This window comes from Homo sapiens, chromosome 6 (genome assembly GCF_000001405.40).
Source record: "Homo sapiens chromosome 6, GRCh38.p14 Primary Assembly".
Taxonomy (NCBI): Eukaryota; Metazoa; Chordata; class Mammalia; order Primates; family Hominidae; genus Homo; species Homo sapiens.
In genome coordinates, this window is record NC_000006.12 from 124,801,328 (window position 1) to 124,828,556 (window position 27,229).

Here is a 27,229-nt window from a genome sequence, read left to right on the forward strand (position 1 = left end):
AGAAATATGGAATTGTGTATAATCATAAAGTTATGAACAATATTAGTGGTCACCTACTGTAATCCCCCAATTTTACAGTTAAGGAAAGGGACACTCAAATTGACTTGCTCAAAGTTAAACAATCATTTAGAGGCAGAACTGGGAGCAGAACATCGCTGTCAAGATTCGAAGTATACTTTCCATGTCACTTCACTGTGATACCTGAGAGAGATTCTTGTAACAAATAATTATTGAGCAACTACTGGGTGGTAGGCTATTTATTGTCACTAGGGATAAAGCAGGGAACCAAACAGGTACCATCTTTGCCTTTATGGCGCCTACAATCCAGTGCACAATTTACGAGAGAAAGAGAAATTACAGTAAATCTTGATGAAAGTTCAGACAAGGAAAGGGGATGGAGGTGCCATGGGAATGATTCCAAGAAGAACTCATGCAGTTTAGAAGAGGGAAAGAAATTCTTCCCCGAAGACATGATGATTCAGCTGAAACCTAAGGGATAAATTAGAGGACTATGTAGAACTTAACAAAGACAGGCACGCCTTTTTTAAAAGGTACTACTTTTCGGATCCATATTGACCAAAGGTACACCGTAAGTCACACAGGAATGATCTTAAGTTCTTTTAATGAACTCGATATAGGAAATCTAGTTTCAGCTTTCCCAAATACCAATAAAAATGTTAGAGTAACCATGGGACATTCTCTTTCCTGAAATTGCTACTGTTGTTCTAAGAAGATGATTAATTTAGGCTCAGGAGTTTTGTGATTTTCATTTCTGGAGGCTGTAAAATGATACAAAGATTATGTTAGCAAAGATTACAAGGTAAAGAATATTTCTCTAATAGGTAATTACAGCACGCATGTTTTATTTTTTTATTTCCCTAAATATGCATATGTTAATGTACCCAAAACCCTAATTAAAACTCCTGCATTTAAATGGGCTGTTGATTCTAAATATATTCTGGATGTCAGCTGAGAAGACATACCCAATCATGTCTAACGAGCTCACCTATAGCTTGTAATAACTGCTCCTTCCAATTTCATCTGAAAGACATGTCATATATAATTGAAAGCAATTCTAACAGGGGAGAACAAAACAAAGACTGGAAAATCTAATCCATCCAAATGGCATGGCACAAAGTGAGCCCAGGCACATTTAAGATGAAGTTGGCTTAGTTATTTCACCATAATCTTCATTACATGCTTCTCTACATTTACTGAAAGCATCAAAAGATATCGGATTCATAATTTTCTGACTCTAGCTTTACAGTTTCTCCACCCTGTTAGTTCTCATCTCCCTCATCACCACTCCCTTCATCTGCCACCTTCATTCCCTTCATCGTGGATCACCTTCATTATGGTGGAAAGAGGCTTCTCTAAGATGCCCAGTTCTGAAATTTTCTGCCTGACCATAAACACCTATCTATTCTTTTTCCTTGTTCTACTGCCTCCCTCTTGGAAAAAGTTTTCTTCACCCTTATTTGGAAGCTTCCCTCCACCTGAACCTATGTTTTTCTCATGCTTTGGGTCTTCCTACTCATTATCTATCTCCAGAATTAGCAAAAGCAATGGTGTTCTCATTAGCATTCTTGATTTCCTTCCTTGCTTGCACATCACTTGTGCTTAGACTTTCAACATCTGTGCCTGACGATGCCCAGATTCAATTTCTCCACTTCTAATCCTGGGTGGTTGCTCATTGCTGGAGAAAGTAACTAAACCCGACAGCAAATGTGTACTTGCTACACTCAGCTGGGTGTTGTCTCCTGCTCAACCATGCTTCATTCTTCTGCATTTGACAAAGTGGCACTCTGGCCAGAGGACCTGTTCCACACCTTTCCAGGATCCTTAAACCAAGTACTGATACCTGAGAAAGTCAAATCTATCAAATAGAAACTTGATTTTCCCTCAAGAACCTCGACAAATCTCTGTACAGGCAATTATTCTTTTGTCTTCTTGCAACCCTGCCCAAATCTGAGAGGAACAGGTAAGCTTCTCCTCTACAAAGTAATCCATCCACCAAGCTTTGGCCTATCATTCTGCCTGATCCAGGACACTGAGCTCTCACTGTCTTCATTCTTGACCATTCACTGGACAGTTCCTTTTGCCCACAAATGTGGCAAAGCCTCATAGACCACAGACAAGGCCAGCCCCAAATTCTTTGTGTTCTTTCTGATAATATACAAGGCCATTTCCAAAAGGATTTGAAATATGGAAATTCAGTTCTATGTAATTTTTTAAACATTTAACTTATTTTTTTCTACAGTATGTCACACAGGCTGTTCCTGTTGCTTGTCCAATCACAGTTAATCAACTAAGTGGGCATCTGAAGGCTCTCCATAGACCTCCCTCTGGTCTCTTCAGCTTCCGTGGATGTCTTCTACACTTTTGTCACTCTATATAAAATTTTAGTAAATTCTAATACAAAGTTCTCTCTTTTGAGCCTTGTCTCCATCTACTCTCCTAGCCTTGGAAATGCTAATTATCTGAGTAAAGAGCCTAAATGTGCATTTTGAAGCATAATTCCAATCATTCCTTTTGTATAAATCCTTTTTGAAAAGAGAGGAGATCCCAATCCTACTCATAGTGTATTTTTAATATATATACCTCTACGTATTACACACATATGACACCTGATTCTCTCAATAACCCTTCGAAGCTGAAATTGCTTGATTATCCTCACTTTACAGAGGAAGAAATTAAGGCTCAGAGCAATTGTGACCTGATTATAGGTCCAATGATGGTAAGAAGTAAAGGCACAACCTGAGCACAGGTCTTCTGACTCCAAAGCCCCCCATCTTGATGCTACCAAACAGATTCTACAACAATGTATCAAGTAGTGGCATTATGATATATCAAGTACTGGCATTATATTATTAAAAGACTACCTGATAACAAGATCCAGGTCTCAGCAGAAAACCATCATTTGTTTCTTAAAATCTCACCTAAGGCACTGCCCTCACTGAGAATTAGCAGATATGAACAAGAACAACAATACAAAATAGTTTATCAAGTGAACCTTATATTTCATTTTTTATTAGGCCTTTAGAACCAAAAGCTTAAAGTGATTTTTCAGCTAACGATATACTTTATTTATTATGATACTATTATAGCTATTGCTTTTCACTTTCATTGTTTAGCACGTGTGAATGTGTTACCAAGCTTAAAATATTAAAGATCTGGGGGAGGAGCCAAGATGGCCGAACAGGAACAGCTCCGGTCTACAGCTCCCAGCGTGAGCGACGCAGAAGACAGGTGATTTCTGCATTTCCATCTGAGGTACCAGGTTCATCTCACTAGGGAGTGCCAGACAGTGGGCGCAGGTCAGTGGGTGCAGCGCACTGTGCGTGAGCCGAAGCAGGGCGAGGCATTGCCTCACTCGGGAAGCGCAAGGGATCAGGGAGTTCCCTTTCCTAGTCAAAGAAAGGGGTGACAGACGGCACCTGGAAAATCGGATCACTCCCACCCGAATACTGCACTTTTTTAACGGGCTTAAAAAATGGCGCACCAGGAGATTATATGCTGCACCTGGCTCCGAGGGTCCTATGCCCACGGAGTCTCACTGATTGCTAGCACAGCAGTCTGAGATCAAACTGCAAGGCGGCAGCGAGGCTGGGGGAAGGGCGCCCGCCATTGCCCAGGCTTGCTTAGGTAAACAAAGCAGCCGGGAAGCTCGAACTGGGTGGAGCCCACCACAGCTCAAGGAGGCCTGCCTGCCTCTGTAGGCTCCACCTCTGGGGGCAGGGCACAGACAAAAAGACAGCAGTAACCTCTGCAGACTTAAATGTCCCTGTCTGACAGCTTTGAAGAGAGCAGTGGTTCTCCCAGCACGCAGCTGGAGATCTGAGAATGGGCAGAATGCCTCCTCAAGTGGGTCCCTGACCCCTGACCCCTGAGCAGCCTAACTGGGAGGCACCCCCCAGTAGGGGCAGACTGACATCTCACACGGCCGGGTACTCCTCTGAGACAAAACTTCCAGAGGAACGATCAGACAGCGGCATTCGCGGTTCACAAAAAACCACTGTTCTGCAGACACCGCTGCTGACACCCAGGCAAACAGGGTCTGGAGTGGACCTCTAGCAAACTCCAACAGACCTGCAGCTGAGGGTCCTGTCTGTTAGAAGGAAAACTAACAAACAGAAAGGACATCCACACCAAAAACCCATCTGTACATCACCATCATCAAAGACCAAAAGTACATAAAACCACAAAGATGGGGAAAAAACAGAGCAGAAAAACTGGAAACTCTAAAAAGCAGAGCATCTCTCCTCCTCCAAAGGATCGCAGTTCCTCACCAGCAATGGAACAAAGCTGGATGGAGAATGACTTTGACGAGTTGAGAGAAGAAGGCTTCAGATGATCAAACTACGAGCTACAGGAGGAAATTCAAACCAAAGGCAAAGAAGTTAAAAACATTGAAAAAAATTTAGACGAATGTATAACTAGAATAACCAATACAGAGAAGTGCTTAAAGGAGCTGATGGAGCTGAAAGCCAAGGCATGAGAACTACGTGAAGAATGCAGAAGCCTCAGGAGCTGATGCAATCAACTGGAAGAAAGGGTATCAGCGATGGAAGATGAAATGAATGAAATGAAGCAAGAAGGGAAGTTTAGAGAAAAAAGAATAAAAAGAAACGAACAAAGCCTCCAAGAAATATGGGACTATGTGAAAAGACTAAATCTACGTCTGATTGGTGTACCTGAAAGTGACGGGGAGAACGGAACCAAGTTGGAAAACATTCTGCAGGATATTATCCAGGAGAACTTCTCCAATCTAGCAAGGCAGGCCAACGTTCAGATTCAGGAAATACAGAGAACACCACAAAGATACTCCTCGAGAAGAGCAACTCCAAGACATATAATTGTCAGATTCACCAAAGTTGAAATGAAGGAAAAAATGTTAAGGGCAGCCAGAGAGAAAGATCGGGTTACACACAAAGGGAAGCCCATCAGACTAACAGCGGATCTCTTGGCAGAAACTCTACAAGCCAGAAGAGAGTGAGGGCCAATATTCAACATACTTAAAGAAAAGATTTTTCAACCCAGAATTTCATATCCAGCCAAACTAAGCTTCATAAGTGAAGGAGAAATAAAATACTTTACAGACAAGCAAATGCTGAGAGATTTTGTCACCACCAGGCCTGCCTAAAAGAGCTCCTGAAGGAAACACTAAACATGGAAAGGCACAACCGGTACCAGCCACTGCAAAATCATGCCAAAATGTAAAGACCATCGAGACTAGGAAGAAACTGCATCAACTAACGAGCAAGATAACCAGCTAACATCATAATGACAGGTTCAAATTCACACATAACAATATTAACTTTAAATGTAAATGGACTAAATGCTCCAATTAAAAGACACAGACTGGCAAATTGGATAAAGAGTCAAGACCCATCAGTGTGCTGTATTCAGGAAACCCATTTCACATGCAGAGACACACATAGGCTCAAAATAAAAGGATGGAGGAAGATCTACCAAGCAAATGGAAAACAAAAAAAGGCAGGGGTTGCAATCCTAGTCTCTGATAAAACAGACTTTAAGCCAACAAAGATCAAAAGAGACAAAGAAGGCCATTACATAATGGTAAGGGGATCAATTCAACAAGAAGAGCTAACTATCCTAAATATATATGCATCCAATACAGGAGGACCCAGATTCATAAAGCAAGTCCTGAGTGACCTACAAAGAGACTTACACTCCCACACATTAATAATGGGAGACTTTAACACCCCACTGTCAACATTAGACAGATCAACGAGACAGAAAGTCAACAAGGATACCCAGGAATTGAACTCAGCTCTGCACCAAGTGGACCTAATAGACATCTACAGAACTCTCCACCCCAAATCAACAGAATATACATTTTTTTCAGCACTACACCACACCTATTCCAAAATTGACCACATAGTTGGAAGTAAAGCACTCCTCAGCACATGTAAAAGAACAGAAATTATAACAAACTATCTCTCAGACCACAGTGCAATCAAACTAGAACTCAGGATTAAGAAACTCACTCAAAACTGCTCAACTACATGGAAACTGAACAACCTGCTCCTGAATGACTACTGGGTACATAACGAAATGAAGGCAGAAATAAAGATGTTCTTTGAAACCAACGAGAACAAAGACACAACATACAAGAATCTCTGGGACGCATTCAAAGCAGTGTGTAGAGGGAAATTTATAGCACTAAATGCCCACAAGAGAAAGCAGGAAAGATCCAAAATTGACACCCTAACATCACAATTAAAAGAACTAGAAAAGCAAGAGCAAACACATTCAAAAGCTAGCAGAAGGCAAGAAATAACTAAAATCAGAGCAGAACTGAAGGAAATAGAGACACAAAAAACCCTTCAAAAAATTAATGAATCCAGGAGCTGGTTTTTTGAAAGGATCAACAAAATTGATAGACCGCTAGCAATAAAGAAAAAAAGAGAGAAGAATCAAATAGACACAATAAAAAATGATAAAGGGGATATCACCACTGATCCCACAGAAATACAAACTACCGTCAGAGAATACTACAAACACCTGTACACAAATAAACTAGAAAATCTAGAAGAAATGGATGAATTCCTCGACACATACACTCTCCCAAGACTAAACCAGGAAGAAGTTGAATCTCCGAATAGACCAATAACAGGATCTGAAATTGTGGCAATAATCAATAGCTTACCAACCAAAAAGAGTCCAGGACCAGATGGATTCACAGCCAAATTCTACCAGAGGTACAAGGAGGAACTGGTACCATTCCTTCTGAAACTATTCCAATCAATAGAAAAAGAGGGAATCCTCCCTAACTCACTTTATGAGGCCAGCATCATCCTGATACCAAAGCCAGGCAGAGACACAACCAAAAAAGAGAATTTTAGACCAATATCCTTGATGAACATTGATGCAAAAATCCTCAATAAAATACTGGCAAACTGAATCCAGCAGCACATCAAAAAGCTTATCCACCATGATCAAGTGGGCTTCATCCCTGGGATGCAAGGCTGGTTCAATATACGCAAATCAATAAATGTAATCCAGCATATAAACAGACCAAAGACAAAAACCACATGACTATCTTAATAGATGCAGAAAAGGCCTTTGACAAAATTCAACAACGCTTCATGCTAAAAACTCTCAATAAGTTAGGTATTGATGGGACGTATCTCAAAATAATAGGAGCTATCTATGACAAACCCACAGCCAATATCATACTGAATGGGCAAAAACTGGAAGCATTCCCTTTGAAAACTGGCATAAGACAGGGATGCCCTCTCTCACCACTCCTATTCAACATAGTGTTGGAAGTTATGGCCAGGGCAATTAGACAGGAGAAGGAAATAAAGGGTATTCAATAGGAAAAGAGGAAGTCAAATTGTCCCTGTTTGCAGATGATATGATTGTATATCTAGAAAACCCCATTGTCTCTGCCCAAACTCTCCTTAAGCTGATAAGCAACTTCAGCAAAGTCTCAGGATACAAAATCAATGTACAAAATCACAAGCATTCTTATACACCAATAACAGACAAACAGAGAGCCAAATCATGAGTGAACTCCCATTCACAATTGCTTCAAAGAGAATAAAATACCTGGGAATCTACCTTACAAGGGACGTGAAGGACCTCTTCAAGGAGAACTACAACCCACTGCTCAAGGAAATTAAAGAGGATACAAACAAATGGAAGAACATTCCATGCTCATGGGTAAGAAGAATCAATATGGTGAAAATGGCCATACTGCCCAAGGTAATTTACAGATTCAATGCCATCCCCATCAAGCTACCAATGCCTTTCTTCACAGAATTGGAAAAAAATACTTTAAAGTTCACATGGAACCAAAAAAGAGCCTGCATCGCCAAGTCAATCCTAAGCCAAAAGAACAAAGCTGGAGGCATCACACTACCTGACTTCAAACTATACTACAAGGCTACAGTAACCAAAACAGCATGGTACTGGTACCAAAACAGAGATATAGATCAATGGAACAGAACAGAGCCCTCAGAAATAACGCCACATATCTACAACTATCCGATCTTTGACAAACCTGAGAAAAACAAGCAATGGGGAAAGGATTCCCTATTTAATAAATGGTGCTGGGAAAACTGGCTAGCCATATGTAGAAAGCTGAAACTGGATGCCTTCCTTACACCTTATACAAAAATCAATTCAAGATGGATTAAAGACTTAAACGTTGGACCTAAAACCATAAAAACCCTAGAAGAAAACCTAGGCATTACCATTCAGGACATAGGCATGGGCAAGGACTTCATGTCTAAAACACCAAAAGCAATGGCAACCAAAGCCAAAATTGACAAATGGGATCTAATGAAACTAAAGAGCTTCTGCACAGCAAAAGAAACTACCATCAGAGTGAACAGGCAACCCACAAAATGGGAGAAAATTTTCACAACCTACTCATCTGACAAAGGGCTAATATCCAGAATCTACAATAAACTCAAACAAATTTACAAGAAAAAAACAAACAACCCCATCAAAAAGTGGGCGAAGGACATGAACAAACACTTCTCAAAAGAAGACATTTATACAACCAAAAAACACATGAAAAAATGCTCACCATCACTGGCCATCAGAGAAATGCAAATCAAAACCACAATGAGATATCATCTCACACCAGTTAGAATGGCAATCATTAAAAAGTCAGGAAACAACAGGTGCTTGAGAGGATGTGGAGAAATAGGAACACTTTACACTGTTGGTGGGACTGTAAACTAGTTCAACCATTGTGGAAGTCAGTGTGGCGATTCCTCAGGGATCTAGAACTAGAAATACCATTTGACCCAGCCATCCCATTACTGGGTATGTACCCAAAGGACTATAAATCATGCTGCTATAAAGACACATGCACACATATGTTTATTGCGGCACTATTCACAATAGCAAAGACTTGGAACCAACCCAAATGTCCAACAATGATAGACTGGATTAAGAAAATGTGGCACATATACACCATGGAATACTATGCAGCCATAAAAAATGATGAGTTCATGTCCTTTGTAGGGACATGGATGAAATTGGAAATCATCATTCTCAGTAAACTATCACAAGAACAAAAAACCAAACACCGCATATTCTCATTCGTAGGTGGGAATTGAACAATGAGAACACATGGACACAGGAAGGGGAACATCACACTCTGAGGACTGTTGTGGGGTGGGGGGAGCGGGAAGGGATAGCATTGGGAGATATACCTAATGCTAGATGACAAGTTAGTGGGTGCAGCACACCAGCATGTCACATGTATACATGTCACTAACCTGCACATTGTGCACGTGTACCCTAAAACTTAAAGTATAATAATAAAAATAAACAAATAAATAAATAAAAATAAAATATTAAAGATTTGTTTCTGATACAAGTAAGAAGCAAACTGAAAAATAAGGCCCTAAAACCCTGAGAAAACATATTTGATGAACAAGTTTAGGAAGCGAAGCATCTGCGGTGATTTAGCTAATAAGTCTCATTTCATTCCATGTATGCTTCGCCTGCTCAAAGCCTTCTGTTGTATAACACTTTAGTGACCTTTCATGCAACAACAGGCTAAAGTACGTCTTCCTATAAAGGATTGCATTTTCCTTATCAGGAAAAAAAAAAAAAAAAAGCTCAGAGTCCCTCCAGGGATTTTAGCCCAGACTGAACACCTCAAGTTCACACAGTCAGCTTGAATTCCTGCCACCAACTAGAGCTTAGTGGAAGAAAAGTGATTCTTTTCAATTTGGCTTATGGTTGGGTATGTTTTACGTTCCTTTTGTATTACTGGAGCTAAGTACCCTTGGAATTCATACCTATGGAAATAATGGAAAGACGCTCTATTTTCATAGGCCCTGTTAATTTCCTTTAATATTTAGAAAATTCATTGAAAGACATCAAATACTTTAGTGTCTTTCAGTGAGTTATTCTAAATATTCAGGCTTAGCTTCCTATGAACTGCCTGTTAAATTTTCCCTTCATGGTTTTTTACAGCTCTGTCTCCAAAAGGGAGTATGTTGACTAGTGGCTTTGTCATTAATAACCAAGGGACAATTTTATATTACAATACCTCATTGCCAACATGTATTTAATAAAACAGTTTTAAGTTTGCTGAACTCAGTGTTCATGATTAAAAGGTTTAAATAAAAGAGAGGCTCACAACAGGAAATATATTGTCACAAAGAATATTTATTCAAAAACTTTTTTATCTTACTTGGTAATTTCTAAATTCCACTATCATTAATGTTACTAAATCATAGTTATTAAATTGATATGGCACTTGACTAACTTAAAATAATTGCACCTACAATTATTACAGTACATCCACTGACCCTACCCATAGGTCAATAGATGTAAACATACCCACACTGCAGATAAGAAAATGAAGGCAAAAAGAAAATGCACTTGCAAAGAAAATGATAGCATTCCAAGTTGTCTTTTGGAGGTGATGGATATGTTATTACCTTGATTGTGGTAAAGGTTTCACAGGTATGCACATGTCCAAACTTATCAAATTGCACACATTAAATATGTGCAGTGTTTTGCATATCAATTATACCTCAGTATAGCTCTTAAAAAAAAAATCCTGAGTTGTCTTCAGAGAACCAAAGGCAAATCCCTCCGACAAGGCAGAGATTAAGAAAGTACAATTTTTTTTCACCTTCTGTCCAGTTGTGTGCCTCTGTTTAGGGTCCTATAAACTGGCCAGAAGGAAAACAAAGTTATTCCTACAATTATCAAGATTGGTAACACTCGATAGCATTCATCAATGAATGACCGTCTCACTGGAGTCCTTTTGATGCAAATGCATGTCCTAACCTCTTTCTTTCCACTCCTCTTGGCCAAAGGGGATGCAGTGGTGTTTTCTTCCTACTGGTATCCAAAAAGTTTCTTTTGTGTATCTCACAGCACCCAGACAACAACTCTGTAGATTGTCTATAAAAAGTCTTCTCTTTATTATCATTCAAGGCCTTGGCAGTCAGCCAAATTTCACTTGGAAGTTTTACTAGCATCTTCTGTGCTCCAATCAATTGCCTTATTTTCCTTTACAGCCTAAAGGGTCTAAGAGTTTATTTGGTAAATACCTATTGAGTGTCTTCCGTGAGCCAGACACTGTTCTGGGTTCTGAGGCTAATGTAGTAAACAGTAGAAAACAGTAAATCTCATGTAGCTTGTATTATAGTAGTGGAGGAAATCAACAAATAAACAAGCAGATTTATACATCAGGTAGAAATAGGTTGCAATGAAGCAAAATAAAGCTGAGTGAGGAGAAAGAAATTCATCTCTAACATCCCAGCAAGTCCCCAATTTCCCTTGCACTAATTAGAGTTACATTTCCCTTTTCCCAAGCGTCTCTTCACTTAGATGTACTACTTATAACTTAAATACTACATTTCCAAAAGAAAGCCAAACACCAACTCCCTTTTGACCTTTTTTTTTTCTTTAAAAGCAGCAATATGCCCCTGGCAAACAAATTTCTGAGAATCAACTTTGAACCTTTTCTTTTCCTCCCTTTCCCCCATGTTCAAAAACTTGCCATGAACTATGTTTTCTACCTCTTTGTCCATTCATCTCAAATTCATTGACATCTTTCCTTCCTCATTCTCCTAATTCTAATTCAGGCTTTTAGTAATTCCTGTCTGTCTTTCACATTTTCTGTTAAGCATTGAAATTACACAGACAATATGCCAAGTCGCATGAAAGAAAACATCTCTCATAACTTTAAAAAAACATCGTTGTTATCAGTCATACAAGATGGGGATGAGAATATAAATAATTTTCAGAAGAAAGGACTGCTTAAATACTTATTTGGTGTCCTGCATAAATTATCAGACATGAAGCACATGAACTAAATCTTGAAGGATGCTACCCTCTTAAAGATACATTACAAAAAAGCCCCGAAATACCACATTGGCAACTATCACTGGCAAATTCAGCAAAGGTAGTTTCTGATAAGTTATTGTTTACATCCAAATATTTCTACAGTATTAGATCAAAGAAGAATCTAATACTGTAGATCCTTACAGTATTAGATGGGAAGAACATAAAGAGCAAATTTTCTAGAAAGAACAGAGTAAAAGATGCTGGAGAACAAATAACAGAAGGAGGAATCTACAACCAATAAGGAACTCAAAGCAAGAACTTAAGACTTTTGTTAAATTAATAATTTAGAAAGTACATAAAAATGTGATTTGATGCTTTTGATCACTGTTGATAACGTTCCAAAAATGTACTAGAATGGCATCAGTCAAATGCAGAAATATCTTTTTCAATATACATACAAAGGAAATAGAATACCTGGTTTCTACTCTCATCCTCAGATGTTGTGTGACTCAAGATAAAACTCTATAAATCTGTACTGATTTGTAAAATTAAGATAATTATTCCTACCAATCTCAAAGTAATTTTGTGAAGATAAATGATATCACTTGAAAGGGCTTCAGGAACTATTAAGTATTTTGTAATTTGGGGAATTTAGTTTATTTTTAAGGATATAAGGAGATTCTTGATAGATAGAAGTTACTCTTTTCTAAATAATGCAGAGATAAACTACGACCCAAACATCTAGCTGCCATCAAAATTACCTGGACAAAGATCTGTCAAATGTTTTATGACCCTTATTGCTCAGAGAAGTTTTAGAATATGCAGTAGTCTCTTTAGAGCCTGAATAAATGTCATTATATAAAAGAAACTGAAAACAGAAAAAGATGGTATTATGGGTATCTTAAAAATGTAAGCTAACCCCAGTAATTCAATTTTTGAGAAGGAAAAAATACCTCTACCTCTCTATCTACATGGCACCCCAAAAAGTTCCATATGTGGTTGAAGAACCCTTCCATAAAAGGTGAGAAGAATCAAGTCTCTCTGTGCTGACCCCCATAATCTTAACTGTAATGGTTGGTTGGATCCAGTTGATGCCTATTCTTCTCCCTGAGGTCTTTAGGAAGACATCCAAACAATTTCTGAGAAGAAGTGCACATGGAAATTGACTGTACACTGTCTCCTTGGCTGTGAACTCAAGCATGTAGGTAAAATAAACTACAGAAAATATGCCCTCTACTTCTGATTTAAATTTGAATGCCCCCTCATGAGTGAAATGGTAAAAATCCAGCCTGGTTACATTCAGAGCTGCTTCTTTTCTCATCTTGGTTCTGGGTCACCCTCTGTTGGAACTTCTTCCATACCCAGGCCATCAGCATGGTCCGAATAATCAGAATGATCACAGTCCTTCCATCAGAGCTTTAGTGCCGTCCTCCCTAATCTGAGGGTTGTAAGCCATCTCTCTCTACCTACACAGCATACAGATCATGGTTAATAAGAGCAAGCCCCAGGCCACTCAAGCTCCATTCGCATCACAGGCTCAGGACACCCTCATTTCCCTCCTGGCCTTTTCTTGTGTCTTTGGAAGGTCTACATGGCTTCTGACTCAAGCTTTGCTGTCCATTTTTGGTCCTAATTCTATCCATTGGACTTGAAGATTCATCTTGTTTTCTTCACATTATCCCTTGGTTCACCCGAAGATCTTTGGTTCATAATTATCATCTATTTTTTTTCTGCCATCCCTCCTAAATCCCTGTAATCAAGTTAATTAAATATTTCAAAACAAACTCAATAATAATAACAACAGCAGCAGCAGCAATAAAAATACTAATAAACCTGAGTTTGACTTGGATCTCAATTTCAGTGGAGACCTTACTGTTTTTGTCTGCCCTGATCTTGATCTATTGTAACCCACTCTCCACCACCATGGTAGAGACCATCCTACTAAGAGGGAAGCTCAGAGCAGTGAAGCTCTAACTCGGTAAATACCTCTTAGAAAACTAGTCCTTAATTTAGTCTCATTGTCAACAAGAGCCCATCCAGATAAACAGGAATTTAGACACTATCTGCAAAAAATCCCCAGTCTTAAACTATATATATACATATATATATATATATGTATATATGTATATATATATGTGTATATATATGTATATATGTATATATTTGAGACGGAGTTTCCCTCCTGTCACCCAGCTGGAGTGCAATGGCATGATCTCTGCTCATTGAAACTTCTGCCTCTGGTGTTCAAGCAATACTCCTGAGCCTCCCGAGTAGCTGGGATTACAGACACGCACCACCATGCCCAGTTAATTTTTGTATTTTTAGTAGAGACGGGGTTTCACCATGTTGGCCAGGCTGGTCTTCAACTGCTGACCTTAGGTGACCCATCTGCCTCAGCCTCCCACAGTGCTGGGATTACAGGCGTGAGCCACGGCACCCAGCCAATAATTTTTTTAAGTGCAAACTTTAAATAGAGTCACTGTGTAATTATTACACAGTTCTTCTGGTACTGTTTATATTAGCTAAGGTACAATGTAGAAGACAAAAGAGGCAATGTAGAAGACAAAAGAGGATCACACTCTTTTGATCCATCTCCTGTAAAATACTTGCTATAGTTCTATAGTTGTCCCAAATTAAGAATTTTCTGTCTTCTCTTTCTGCTATGCTGCATGGCTTAGAATTATAAAGAAATTTTGAATTTTTTGAGGGGCTCTTAATTTTCTTCTTTTACACCATATGTCTCATCCAGGACTCTACACTCTCCTTATTTTATCCTCATACCAATTATATGCGATAAATATGATAACTCCTATTTTAAGAGATGTTAAGTTGTTTATCCAAGGTCACATAGCTGGCAAAGGGAAAAGCAGAATTAAACCCTGGTCCTTCTAATATCAGGGTCTCTGTTTTTGTCATTATGCCATTCCACTTTGGAAGAGAAGAGACATTCTGCCTTGGTAAAAGGGTTTCCCATGCAAAAAAGAAATGCAGTATCAAGCCATGAAAAGTCCTGGTGGAATCTTACATGCATATTACTAGGTGAAAGAAGCCAGCCAGAAAGGGCTACATGCTATATGAGTCCAGTGACATGACATTCTGTAGAAGGCAAAATTATAAAGACAGTAAAAAGATCAGTGATTGCCGGGGGTTGGGGGAGGAAAGGATGATTAGGAGGAGCACAGGGGAATTTTAGGGCAGCGAAACTGTTACGGTACTCTAATGGTAGATACATGTCACGCATTTATCAAAACCCATAGAATGTACAACACCAAGAATAAACATTAATGTAAACTATGGACTTTGGATGATGATGATGTGTCAATGTAGGTTCACTGATTGTAATAAATGTACCATTCTAGTGTAGGCTATTCATAGTGGAGGATGTTGTGTTTGTGTGGGGGCAGGAAATATACAGGAATTATCTGTACTTTCTGCTCCATTTTTCTGTGAACCTAAAACTGCTCTAAAAAAATAAAGTTTTTTTCTAAGAGAAAACAAAGGATTTCCCCACTACACAGACATCACGGACTTTATGTTACTTTGCACCCTGCTCCAGTTTCTATCTGTAGCACCCCAAATATTAATAAGAGAATAACTAGAAAAAAGTAAGCCAATAGAAGGAGATGCTAGGAAAGAAGTAATGGGTGTCCTAGGGCATTTTGATTGTCTCTATTTGACTTTCTTTCTCCTTCCTCTTATCTTGTTGGCCTTGTGTTCTTTTGTTTCTTTTATCCCCACTCTAAAACCTCTTTATTCACAAATGAAAAAGAAAAAACAAAAACTAAACTTTTTCACAGTACTTTTAGAATTGACTGTTCCAGTTACCATTGCTGCCAAAACTTAGTGGTATAAAGCAACCATTTATTACGCTCATAGGCTCTGTGGGTTAATAACTCAGACAGGCACAGAGGGGATGGCTTGTCTCTGTTCTCTGATGTCAGAAACCTGAGCTGAAAAGATTCCAAGACTGAGCTGACTCAACAGTGAGGGTCTAGAATCATTTAAGGGACACTTGTTTGACCCACAGCCCACAGGCTACATGCAGCCCAGGACAGCTTTGAATACATCCTAAAACAAATTTGTAAATTTTCTTAAAACATTATGAGATTTTTTGGCATTTTTTTTTTTGGCTCACCAGCTATCGTTAGTATCAGTGTATTTTATGTGTGACCCAAGACAATTCTTCTTCTTCTAATGTGGCCCAGGGAAGCCAAAAGACTGGACACCCCGATTGAAAGGTATTTTATTTCCCACACCTGGATTTGGATGCTGGCTATCAGCTGATACATTAGTTATACTGTTACTGAAACACTTATCCATTGGTCCTTCATTGATCTCTCCATGCGGGCTAGCTTGGGCTTCCTTGTGGCATCATGGCTGTGTTCCAAGAGAGAACATCCCAAAAGAGCAAGATAAAAGTGCATGACACTTTTATGGTCTGACCTTAGAAGCCCCATAGTGTCATTTATAGCATAGTCAAAGCTGCCAGAAATGTCTGCCCATGTTCAAGAGGAAGAGACATACTCAAACCATTGTATGGGAGGAAGGTCAAAGTCACATTGTAAAAACATATAAAATAGGAGATACTCTTACCGCCATTTTGGAAAATATAATCTGCCACAGTAACTCTTATTATATCTTATTGTATCTTACATTGCTAAGTATGTATTGAATTTGAATATTTGGTTAGACTGTTCCACATGTTTACCTCTGATTGTTTAAGATGGTAAACCACATTTGGCAGGGACAGCAATGTTGAGTTAATTTACATGACCTCCACCATAGTACCTTGCGCTTGGTAACCATAACATGTAATATTATTACTAGTGCTGCAATTGCTCATAGATACATGCACTTGAGTGGTCATTATTTATATTTATATGCTGTAACATTTTGTAGCATGTCACAGAAAATCTACACTAACCAAAAAGGCATATAGCATCTCTATTGTGTAGATGAATTCTATTACTCCAATTAGGTCTTGGTTGTTTGAAAATAGTACATCATTTTTTCTACCAAGTGAATAAATTCTTGTAAGGCAATAATTGAATCTTACAATGAGCAGTGGGGGAGGGGGGCAGCGGAATCACTACCTTGAAGGAACTATCATTTCTTCCATTTCTTTTTTCTTCACAATTAGTTACTTTTAGAAGTTTAATAGATTATTACTAATAAAAGGTTTATTAGTAATCTGTGTGGGTGCTTGATCATGGATGTATATCTCTTCTGAAAAGCTAATTAATGAATTGTCCCTTTTCAGTTGATTTCATAGGTGGCTTTGACTCTTATGGCTATCAAGGGCCTCAGAAGACATCTCATTTACAACTACAGCCTATGTACATGTAAGTATTTTACTTGGAAGGTACTCTTCTGGGGTACTAAAGATAATCAAGTAACTGTATCACGATACAAAATTGATGGCATGCAGCTTTTGTTCAGTTATATTTTTCCAGTATTTTTTCTATTAATATTGTCTTGGCTGGGATAATTTTAATAACATTTTTCCATGAATTTTTCTTATTTGACTTATAAGAAATGCCATTTCTAAAGTTATATTTAGTCTTACATAAGTATCACCTACATGGCTCAAAAGCCTATGTTAATTATCTACCACTTCTTTGAGTTGCCAAAAAGTTGTATTTTTTGAAAATGATATAATGTAGGCAGTTATATATAATTATATATAAACCATATGTTCTGGTTTCAGTTTACAGTGGTTGTCCTGGCATAATTATTACTCTCAAAAGAGTTCTCATTTAGATGATAAATAATAGGTTCACCCTAGTTATATGTAGTGTTAAGAAAATAAAAAACTGAGTAATACACTTTCTCTATCATTTTTCTGATGTAAAAGTGAAAATGAACTGGAACATTAACACTGAAATTTATCGAACCCTTAACTCTAGCACTCAGGAGAGCAGACATACAATCAGAGCCTGATTTTTATATCTGTGTTTAGGCAAATTCCCTTGGATAACAACTGATAACAAATTCTATATATCAGCATCAAGTGATATGCTGAATTGCAAGCGAAGATCAAAATAGAAAGTAAGATTCCAATTCATTTTAAAATGTGAACTTCTCTTTGAAGATATGTGTTTGTTGTCGTTGTCCTCCACCATTGAATCATTTTACCTTTTAATATCTTTAGTGTGTAGGATAATAAATGGAGTTTGGGAGTAAGTATTGCTCCTCCAAAGAAATTAATCTTTAAACATCCCCTTTTTAAGCTTCTCTTTAAAAAAAGAATAATCTTGCACCGTGCCTGCCTTTTTCTTTGTGTCACTTGTAGTTCTCTGAAATCATTTGCTAATAGCACCCATAAAACAGACTTTAGCAGTTCAGAAATCAACCAGTATGTTGCTTCATTCAAAGCATTGCTTCTGTAAACACTGTATTACACATTTCCTCTTTTACATCCTCACAACGACTGCACTAATTCATGCAAGTATGACCTGTTAAGTTTTTCGGTCTCTTCCTTATTTCAGAACCTCCATTGTATCCTCCATATGGCTGCCAAATTAATCTTCCTAAAGTACTGCGCTGATGATTTCACTTCCCTACTTCAAAGCTATCAAGGAGTCCCTATTACCTACTGTTGAAACAGTATCTCTTCTCTTCAACTCTTAATAATGTTTGAGTCCCAACCATATGCAGATGACACTGGAGATATTAGGAAAATGTAGTAATGAATAAGAACTAGCCCTGTCCTCCTGAAGTTTATAATCTATTGAGAGCATAAACAGTCTGATAGCTCCCCTTAGCCATTTTTTTCTTGCCTTATCCAAATATGATATGTATTTTTCCAATTCATGCTGTTCTCTTGACAACAAACATCATCTTTTTTCCAAATTCCACTCTTTGAAACCCCACTATCCTTTGAATTTTCTTAAGATATATTCCTTTATGAAACATTTGTTAATCTTTTCTCCTCTAATATTTCTTTTATTTCTTTCCCCATGTACTACAGTTGTTTGCTATGCATGCCATACCTTCCTTCCCTATCCCCCCAGAAAGATTCTTGATAGCTACAACAACAAAACATGATCAATCCTTCACACTCTTTACCATTCTTCTCAATATTTTATGTAACATTCTATAAAGTGTTCTATTTAAAAAGGCAATCAGGACTAGTGGTTAAGACGACCTACTGAAGGCATACTGTCTGAGATTAAATTCCCTCCGACCGTGGGCATGTAACTTTGTTTGAATAACTCTATTTAATTTTACCAAGCCTAAGTTTCCTCACCTGCAAAATAGAGATCGCATACAGACTTTATCTGATTGCTCTGAAATTATATGAAAGAATATATATAAAGCACATGAAACGTAGGATATGTCACATAGTAAGTGCTTAATAAACATAATTCATTAGTGGTAGAATAATGCTTGTGTTAATCAACATCACTCATGAAAAGGCTGTATCAAGTCAGAAGTAACATACACTGCAAGTCATTCCTAAAAGATCTCCTCTGTAAATGGTATATTATATATAACAGCGGTCCCCTGGGCCGTGAATAGTCCTGGCCCATGGTCTGTTAGGAGCTGAGCACAGAGCAGGAGGTGAGCAGCAGGTGAGGGAACATTACTGCCTAAGCTCTGCCTCCTGTCTGATAAGCAGCAGTATTAGATTCTCATAGCAGTGTGAACCTTATTGTGAACTGCATGTGTGAGGGATCTAGGTTTTGTGATCCTTATGAGAATCTAATGCCTGATGATCTGAGGTGGAACAGTTTCATCCTGAAACCATTCCCCCCAACCCTGGTCTATGGGAAAATTGTCTTCCACAAAACCAGTCTCTGGTACCAAAAAGGTTGAGGACTGCTGACATATAACATCAGCTCAAGTAACATGTAATACTATATTTATGCTCAAGAGTAGAATATGGCTAGGCACAGTGATTCATGCCTGTAATCCTAGCACTTTGGGAGGCCGAGACAGGTGGATCACCTGAGGTCAGGAGTTCGAGAGCAGCCTGGCCAACATGGCGAAACTCCATCTCTACTAAAAATACAAAAATTAGCCAGGCATGGTGGTGCACGCCTGTAATCCCAGTTACTCGGGAGGCTGAGGCAGGAGAATCTCTGGAACCTGGGAGGTGGAGGTTGCAGTGAGCAAAGATCGTGCCACTGCACTCCAGCCTGGTTAACAAAGTGAGGCTCTGTCTCAAAAAAAAAAAAAAAGGAGAATAAAATATCTACAAGGTTTGTAATTGCTTGCTACTAATAATATTACATAATATTTTACTGTATTGGCCAATATGAGTGACCAATAAATATGATCAAGCTGTAATAAATTAGAGGTAATCTCTCATCTAAAGATAAACATGAGAATGCTAATTATATACAATTTAATATATTAAATTCAAATCAAGCATTTATAATTCTAATGGGCTTTAAAGAAGAGACTCTACAAAGATAGATATCTTTGTCCAGAATTAAATTGCATAAGGACAAAACTTATGATTTTGTTAAACAGAGCACTTTAAATGCCAACTAAAAGTTATAAAAAATATATTGTTTTCCTCTTTACTGCATGAGAGTGGTAAAATTGTATCAGAGATTTCAAGTCTCACTGGTCATGAAATAAGTAAATGTTTAATGGAATTCAAATTTAGGAAGTTATGTATACTTAAGGTACATTTAAAAATTACTAGTCAAAATACTCCAATCATTCCTTCCACAAAACATCCCATAGGAGACCTCGGATCCTAGAACAGTAAGGTTTTATTTTACAGACGAGGAAACTCAACCCAATAAAAGGAAAACAAAAGTCACACAACTTGTTACTGGTGCAGCCATGATTATCAACGGGTTTTCCTGACCCCTTCAGTTAGTGTTCTTTCCAAATTCTTAGACAGACTGTGAGTTTGACCTGGTATTACATTCTGATTTTTAATTTGCTTGTTTGTATTCTTAACACTAACTTAGCTGCCACATTTCCATACATGGCTGTGCCTCTCTCCCTTTTCTGCATTCTGTTTATTTCTTTTTTATTTTACATTACGCACTGTTAAATGAAGGGCCTTTTCAACTTCATAGCCCACAAGACCAATCATCTGAGAGCCACTGCTTATTCAAATCTAGTGAAAAACCAAAACTGACACACCTATAAACCTCATCCCCTACTGAGAGGCAGAGAACTTAGCATCTCCTATGTCTTTATCATTTAGAGTGTACCTTCTGTCAACCTGCCATAAATATGTCTTGTAAAGTAAGAGTAATTTAACTTCAGGGGCCAGTCCAAACACCCTAAAAATATTATATAGCAAATGGAAACACAAGCTCTTCCTTGGAAGGAAAACAAATGTTGAAAAGCAATAGGCATTTTTAGCTGTGGGGCTCCCACTGTTCCCAGCAAATCTTCTGTGGCCAAGATCCTGGACAAAGCTTTGAAAACACTGCTGTAACTGACCTACAGTCACAGCTGTGTTTCAGTTCCTGCAAACAATGAATAGACAGTCCTCTTAAGTTGGGTGACTGTTCTTGGTTTGTAATTTTTCAGATGATGTATAACTAACCTAAAAAGGAAAGATTTTAATTATATTTTTCTTAAAGTTTGGTACATGTTGTTGAAACAAATCAATAACAACAAAGTTGCTGCACAAAAAAAATCCCATGTCTGCGTGCTCCAGCCCCGGCAACAGAGCTAGACTTTGTCTAAAAAAAAAAAATCCCGTGTCTACAGCTTAAGTTTTTAACAAAATAGCTGCTTTGACTACCAGAGACCTATGTGACTGTCAGAGCAAGTAGAGATCTGATTGGGCTTCCAGCAATATAAGAATATCCTATAATATATCACACAACATTTGTAAACATTGCATTCTTTTTGGCAGCCTAATTGTACAGAAGTACATATTCATTTCAGTTGTCCCTGGAAATAGATTCTAAATGACCAAAACTGGCCTCTCTATCCCTGCAATTGCCATGAATAAAAAGAAAAGGAGGAAAATTATCTATTTAAAACCCAATTTGGGCTTCTTTTTTGTTTGTTTGTTTGTTTGCTCTTGTGCTTGGAAAGGTGAGAAAAGGTGGTGAGCAGCAGGCACCTGTCACTTTCCCCCTTGACTAAAAACATCTTTTCTCTCTCTCAGGTCAAAATAATACAGATGACTTCAGTATGTCAGCCCATGGACCTTTCAAAGAACTTTTTTCGCAGTGGCCTCCTGCATTTCATGAAGAGCAAGAAGCAACTGAGTTTAAATACATACACGTATTAACAAAACAAATGCAAAGCCTCTACATACAACACTGACACACACACACACACACACGTGAGCACGCACACACCAATTCCACTTGACCTCCTCTTTCTAACTGAAACAGACAAATATGCAGGACACGCCCATCTTGGATTTCCTGAAAGCAGGCCCCTTTCTCCCAGGCCTTCGGAAAGTTCAGAAGGAGATGTGTTGATGCCCAACGGTTGCCGGCCATTGCTAACTCCTCTGCAGCCCAGCGGGTTGGCCTCTGTGAGCTGGGAAGTCATCCAAGGCACATTAGTTTGAGAGCTCTGTCTTCTGCACTCCATACATCTTGACAGCACCACGGCTACTTAGGCAATGTAATTGCAAAAACAAACGAAACATGCCATGATGACCTTGTACCCGAAGTCCGAAATGGCAGATTGTTTGCCCTAAAGGCTGTACCGTACATACTTGCCTTAACCCACCTACATTGTGTGCCCAAGAATCCCAGTGCAGACAGCCCCAAGCCACTTCCTTTAGGCTAACACACTGCTATTAATTCTAAATGAGTTCAAGCCTGTGTGTTTCATGTCAAGGAACAAGACTGAATAGCTCAGCAGCTCCAGTGTGTCTGTATAAGAAAAGTGCCAGCTGTCAGCAAAGTGCTTTACCATAGAGCCTCCATGGTGGCCCAAAAGAGACAAGTAACAATAACAATATCTGTCATCTTTATAATTCTAAAATATGGTCTTCTGATGGGGTTGGGGGTGGGACAGAGTAAAACATTAATCTACTAAACTCACTAATCTACTGGAAGCAGAAAGCAGAAATGGCTTAACTCGCTGATTTTATTTATTGCACTCTAGGTGCTTTTATAAGTATCTACAATTGTCTTTTACTAACACAGAAACAGCTGTGGATTTCTATCAACAGAGGCCAACTGAATATGTATTAGCTATGTTTACTCTTTTATATCTAATTCAAATTGAAGACTCTACGTAGGTGAACTTTTTTTTCTAACTTCAGTGTACAAGATTATTTTTGGGTGGGTGGGGGGAGCAATAGTTACCTTGGTGAAATATTTGAGATCTTTTTGTGGTATTTGGGGGATCTGTTGTGTGTTAGAGTGTATTTCAACCCTCCTGTATTATTGTGGCAGAAAAACTGTGCTGTTAACGTAGTTGGCAACAAGATGCCTTTGGAAACTTAATAGTAGGTCAATGTGTTTATGGAATATTCTGAACTCCTAGGAAATTTTGTTCTATATTTTAAAGCATTATTTGGTTTTCATTAGTGGAAAACATAATTAGCTCAGGCTTATCAGGAACTCAGATGAGTCATATTTTTTCTTGGATACACCTGAGACATTAAACTCAATTTTTTAAAACTAACACACCATTCTTTAGTGCAGTGAAATTCAAAAGTTATAAATTGGCATGGAGCAAGTTTTTTCTTTGATTTCTATGAAGTTTCAGTTATTGGATTAAACTACTTTAGACCTTAGCCCATTCGGATCTACATACACCAGTTCCATTACTGTGTTTGCATGGATGTCTGTAATATACACACACATATACATTTGAAAATGATAGAGGAACAAAGAGTTATCATTGGAACATAAACTATAAAAAAAGATTCCAGCACTCATGCTTGAATTTCCTCAGTGGGTTGTATGTTTGTCCATACATACATGTATAAAATAAACAATTGCAAACATGTCAGTGAAACCTCATATGACGCTTTTATAGTGACATGCATGTTTAATGTATGAGAAAAATATTTACCAATGTATTGTCCTTTGAGTCCTAAAATATAAATACTATACATGCCAGAAACTATTCTAATGTGACTTTTAATGTGACTATTAAAAATGAGGTTTCACTGTACATTCATGCTGTGATGCGATTTCACCTTATAGTACATGTATATGGGTACAGAAAATAAACCCTCATATTCCTGCTTTAAGTTACAGCCAAGTTTTCACCAAATCACAACTATCATCACCACCAAAATTTTAAAAAACAGTAGTTGACTACTAAAAAGTAATCAGTGGACAGGTCATTTATGGGATCAGTAAGCACAGTAGTGTGATTATATCTGGGAAAACATCTACAGTTGTACAGCTGTATCCTCCTCAAAATCCGGTGAAGAATGCTATTTTTCTAGGCTGAGCTTTTGTTATAAACTTAATATTCAGAAGGCAAGGGTTATGATCCTGATGTGTCCTTTTTTTTTGCATTTGTTAATTCTGAATGTATTTTTAACAGAATGATTTTTTTGACTTACTAGTGTAATTTGCATTTTAAAAATAAATGGAAAAATACTTAAGTTTCTGAGCCATCCCTGAAAACCCCTGCTGCTTCTCATGGTGTATTTGCTTATGTCATTGACAGAGACACCCTATTAAATTTACATGAAGGCAACACTGATATTTTGTGCAGTGCAGGGATGTGTCAGCAGTGAAAAGAAATTGCCGGGTCATGGCATCATTTCTACTCAGTCATAGGTAACACGTACTTTCATTATCTGCTAACACTGAGGGTTCTTTTAGAAGACTGCCTGCAATAGACTTTTCATTTGGGGAACCTTCCTCCACCCCCACCTTCTATCTGGGATTTAGAGTTAGCATCAAGCTAATTAATAGTTGGCAGAGGGTTAGGTCACTACATTTAAAAATCTTGGTTAAATTATAGGCAGAGCTTTTTTTTTATTTTTATAGGCCAAATTATTTAAAATAATCTAAAATACTCATTTATTTCCACTTTGATGACAGGATCTTTTGTTATTGTTGTTTGAATATTGATATTCACCTCAACAGATGACAGTGTTGAGATAAAGCAGGCAAATAGGAAGGATTAGCCACTGGCATTAGCGATTGTACAAACATTGTTTCAGGTGAGGTTCATTGTATATACCTAAATGATTGAGGGCAGCAGGCGCAGGCTGCTCCAAGCACAGGCTGTGTCAGGTTCGGGATTGTGTCCTCTCTCCCACTGCACACAAACACACACCAGCTCCCATCAGTCAAAATGCTGGAGTTGACTGAAGACATGAAAGGCTTCGAGGCCATATTTTAAGAGGCTGAAGATCAACTTGTAGTCCTTGACATCTCAGCGGCATGGTGAAAGCCTTGTAAATGATCAAGCCGGCTTTTACTTTTGTCCCCTGTGTAAAAAGTATACTGATGTGTTGTTCATTGAAGTCACTGTGAATAACTTCAGGATGTTTCTTCACACTGTGATGTGAAATGCACACAACAATGTAGTTGCATAAAAAGGACAAAACTAATAGATCAACTATGTGTATATATACTGTAAAGAAAGGATTCTTTCTTCTGGAGTTCTCAATTAAATAGGTTGTGAGTTTGGTAAAATCCCGTGGAACCAGGATCTGCATCTGTTAACTATTAAAAAATACAACTTCTGATACATTTCACTCTACTATACATCTGATACATTTCACTCTACTATAATGAGTAGACCATTTTAATTCAGAAATACAAACTCATTTTAAATAGGTCACATTTTAGAACAAACTTTTGAGATCCAAACCTATTCATAATTCAAACCCTTAAACTAAAACCTACTAAGGTGGTTAAGGAACTATTCAATATTACCTTGTGTCCTGAAAATGCAAATAACTCGCCATTGCACAGCAAATTTTAAGATGTATACTCTGGTCAGAATAGAATAAAACAAATCCCAGACTCTATAAACTGACCCTGAGTTTTAAAAATTCAAATAAACTTTGATAAGGAAGACCCTAAGACAGTATTAAATCATAAAATATTTCTGAATTATTGTGTGTCAAGTTCAGTATAGTATCAATGTTAAATATATTTTATTATATCACAGTTTTTTAAAACTGATAATCCAAATTAATATGTAAACATGTATATATGATGTGTTCTTATACATTAGTAAGACACTTATGTGTTCAATTTCAGGGCTATACGTTTTTCTGTTATTTTGTTTACAGTACACTTAGAGGTAACTAATACTAGAGAGATTAAGATTACGTAAGCAGTCTCATGTTGACTATTCCCAATACTCTTCAAGAAAATATTTCTTCAGATGTTTCATCTGTCTTTGGTAAAATTTTAGCACTCAACACTTGTACTTAGGAAGCTTTTACATGAAGATCCTTACATTGTAAAATTCCAGTTATTCTCATCACATGCAAATCTTTGCTTAGGATCCACTGTCCAAGGCTCTTTTCCTTTTATTTATGCCTACTTTCCACCCACTCCAAGAAAGGAAAGAACAAAGTCTGTGATTAATATACGATGTCCAGTTTACAATATGCGAGCATCTTGAAACAATTTTGATAGTTATGAGAGCCAAATGTATACAACATACATGTATTTTATGACTTTTAATTCAACAAAACTTGAACTAGATAATACATTCGAGGATCACATCTACCACTGAAATCTGCACCGGTGTTAGGAGACGTGACTACCCATGACAACAAAGACAAGCTGCGTTTCCCCTAAAAGGTATAAAGGCGGATTTTTATAATGAAGGTCATTTTTAAAAAATCCTTAATTATTATGGAGTTTAGAATCAAAATGCACTTAAAATTTTAAAGTAACAAAAGTTAATTTCTGTAAGACAAATTCAGAGAGAAAAAATCCTTTTACAAACTACATGTTGATGCTCTTACATGTTCTAAATTGTTATTAAAATTAATGTGAGCATTTTCTATAATGAAAGTACCTTAATAATGTGGCACCTTAATAGTAAAACAGGTATATTTTTAACTGCTTATTCTATGAATTTAAACTGTACCTGCAAAGGAATAAAACAACTCCCAGAAAACATTGCAAATTTGGTGCTGTCACCCCAAGGTTGATGGATTGATTCAATTAAACAGTAAGTCTTTTCTAAGAGTCCTTCAGGGAGTTATTTACCAGAGGCATATCTTGTTTATTCCCTTCCATGAGCCTGTCATTTTTCTTCATTATTCTTCTGGTTTTACTTATTATATCATTTGGGGATATGCTGATCTTCACGTACAGAAGATTTTGCACACAGCTGTCCAGACATACATCTTTCAGACTTCAAACTGGAGGCCACCAGAACACCTGAGCCTCTTGTCACTGTTTACTCAAGCTGACCAAGATACTCTCAGGATGAAGTCAAATAGCTAGACTTACAAATTGTAAATCAATGGGAAAGTATCAAATTGAATGAAAGCTATGAAAAATTATTCTTAAAGGTAGTAACCTTGTGTTCCACACGT

General features: G+C 37.8%; 1 protein-coding gene across 9 annotated transcripts in view; it reads left to right on the forward strand.

The window, feature by feature from the left end:
* Positions 1 to 24,313, forward strand: part of NKAIN2 (sodium/potassium transporting ATPase interacting 2) — a 1,021,776-nt gene extending 997,463 nt beyond the window's left edge. For 6 of the 9 annotated variants that reach the window (NM_001300737.2, NM_001300738.2, NM_001040214.3 and 3 more), the window contains 2 exons: positions 17,060 to 17,141; positions 21,893 to 24,313. In NM_001300737.2, coding sequence (NP_001287666.1) covers positions 17,060 to 17,141; positions 21,893 to 21,902 — 92 coding nt within the window. In that variant the 3' untranslated portion in view covers positions 21,903 to 24,313. Of the gene's footprint in view, positions 1 to 17,059; positions 17,142 to 17,758; positions 17,848 to 21,892 lie in introns of all 9 variants that reach the window. The other 3 variants (XR_007059213.1, XR_007059215.1, XR_007059214.1) reach the window with 1 other exon arrangement.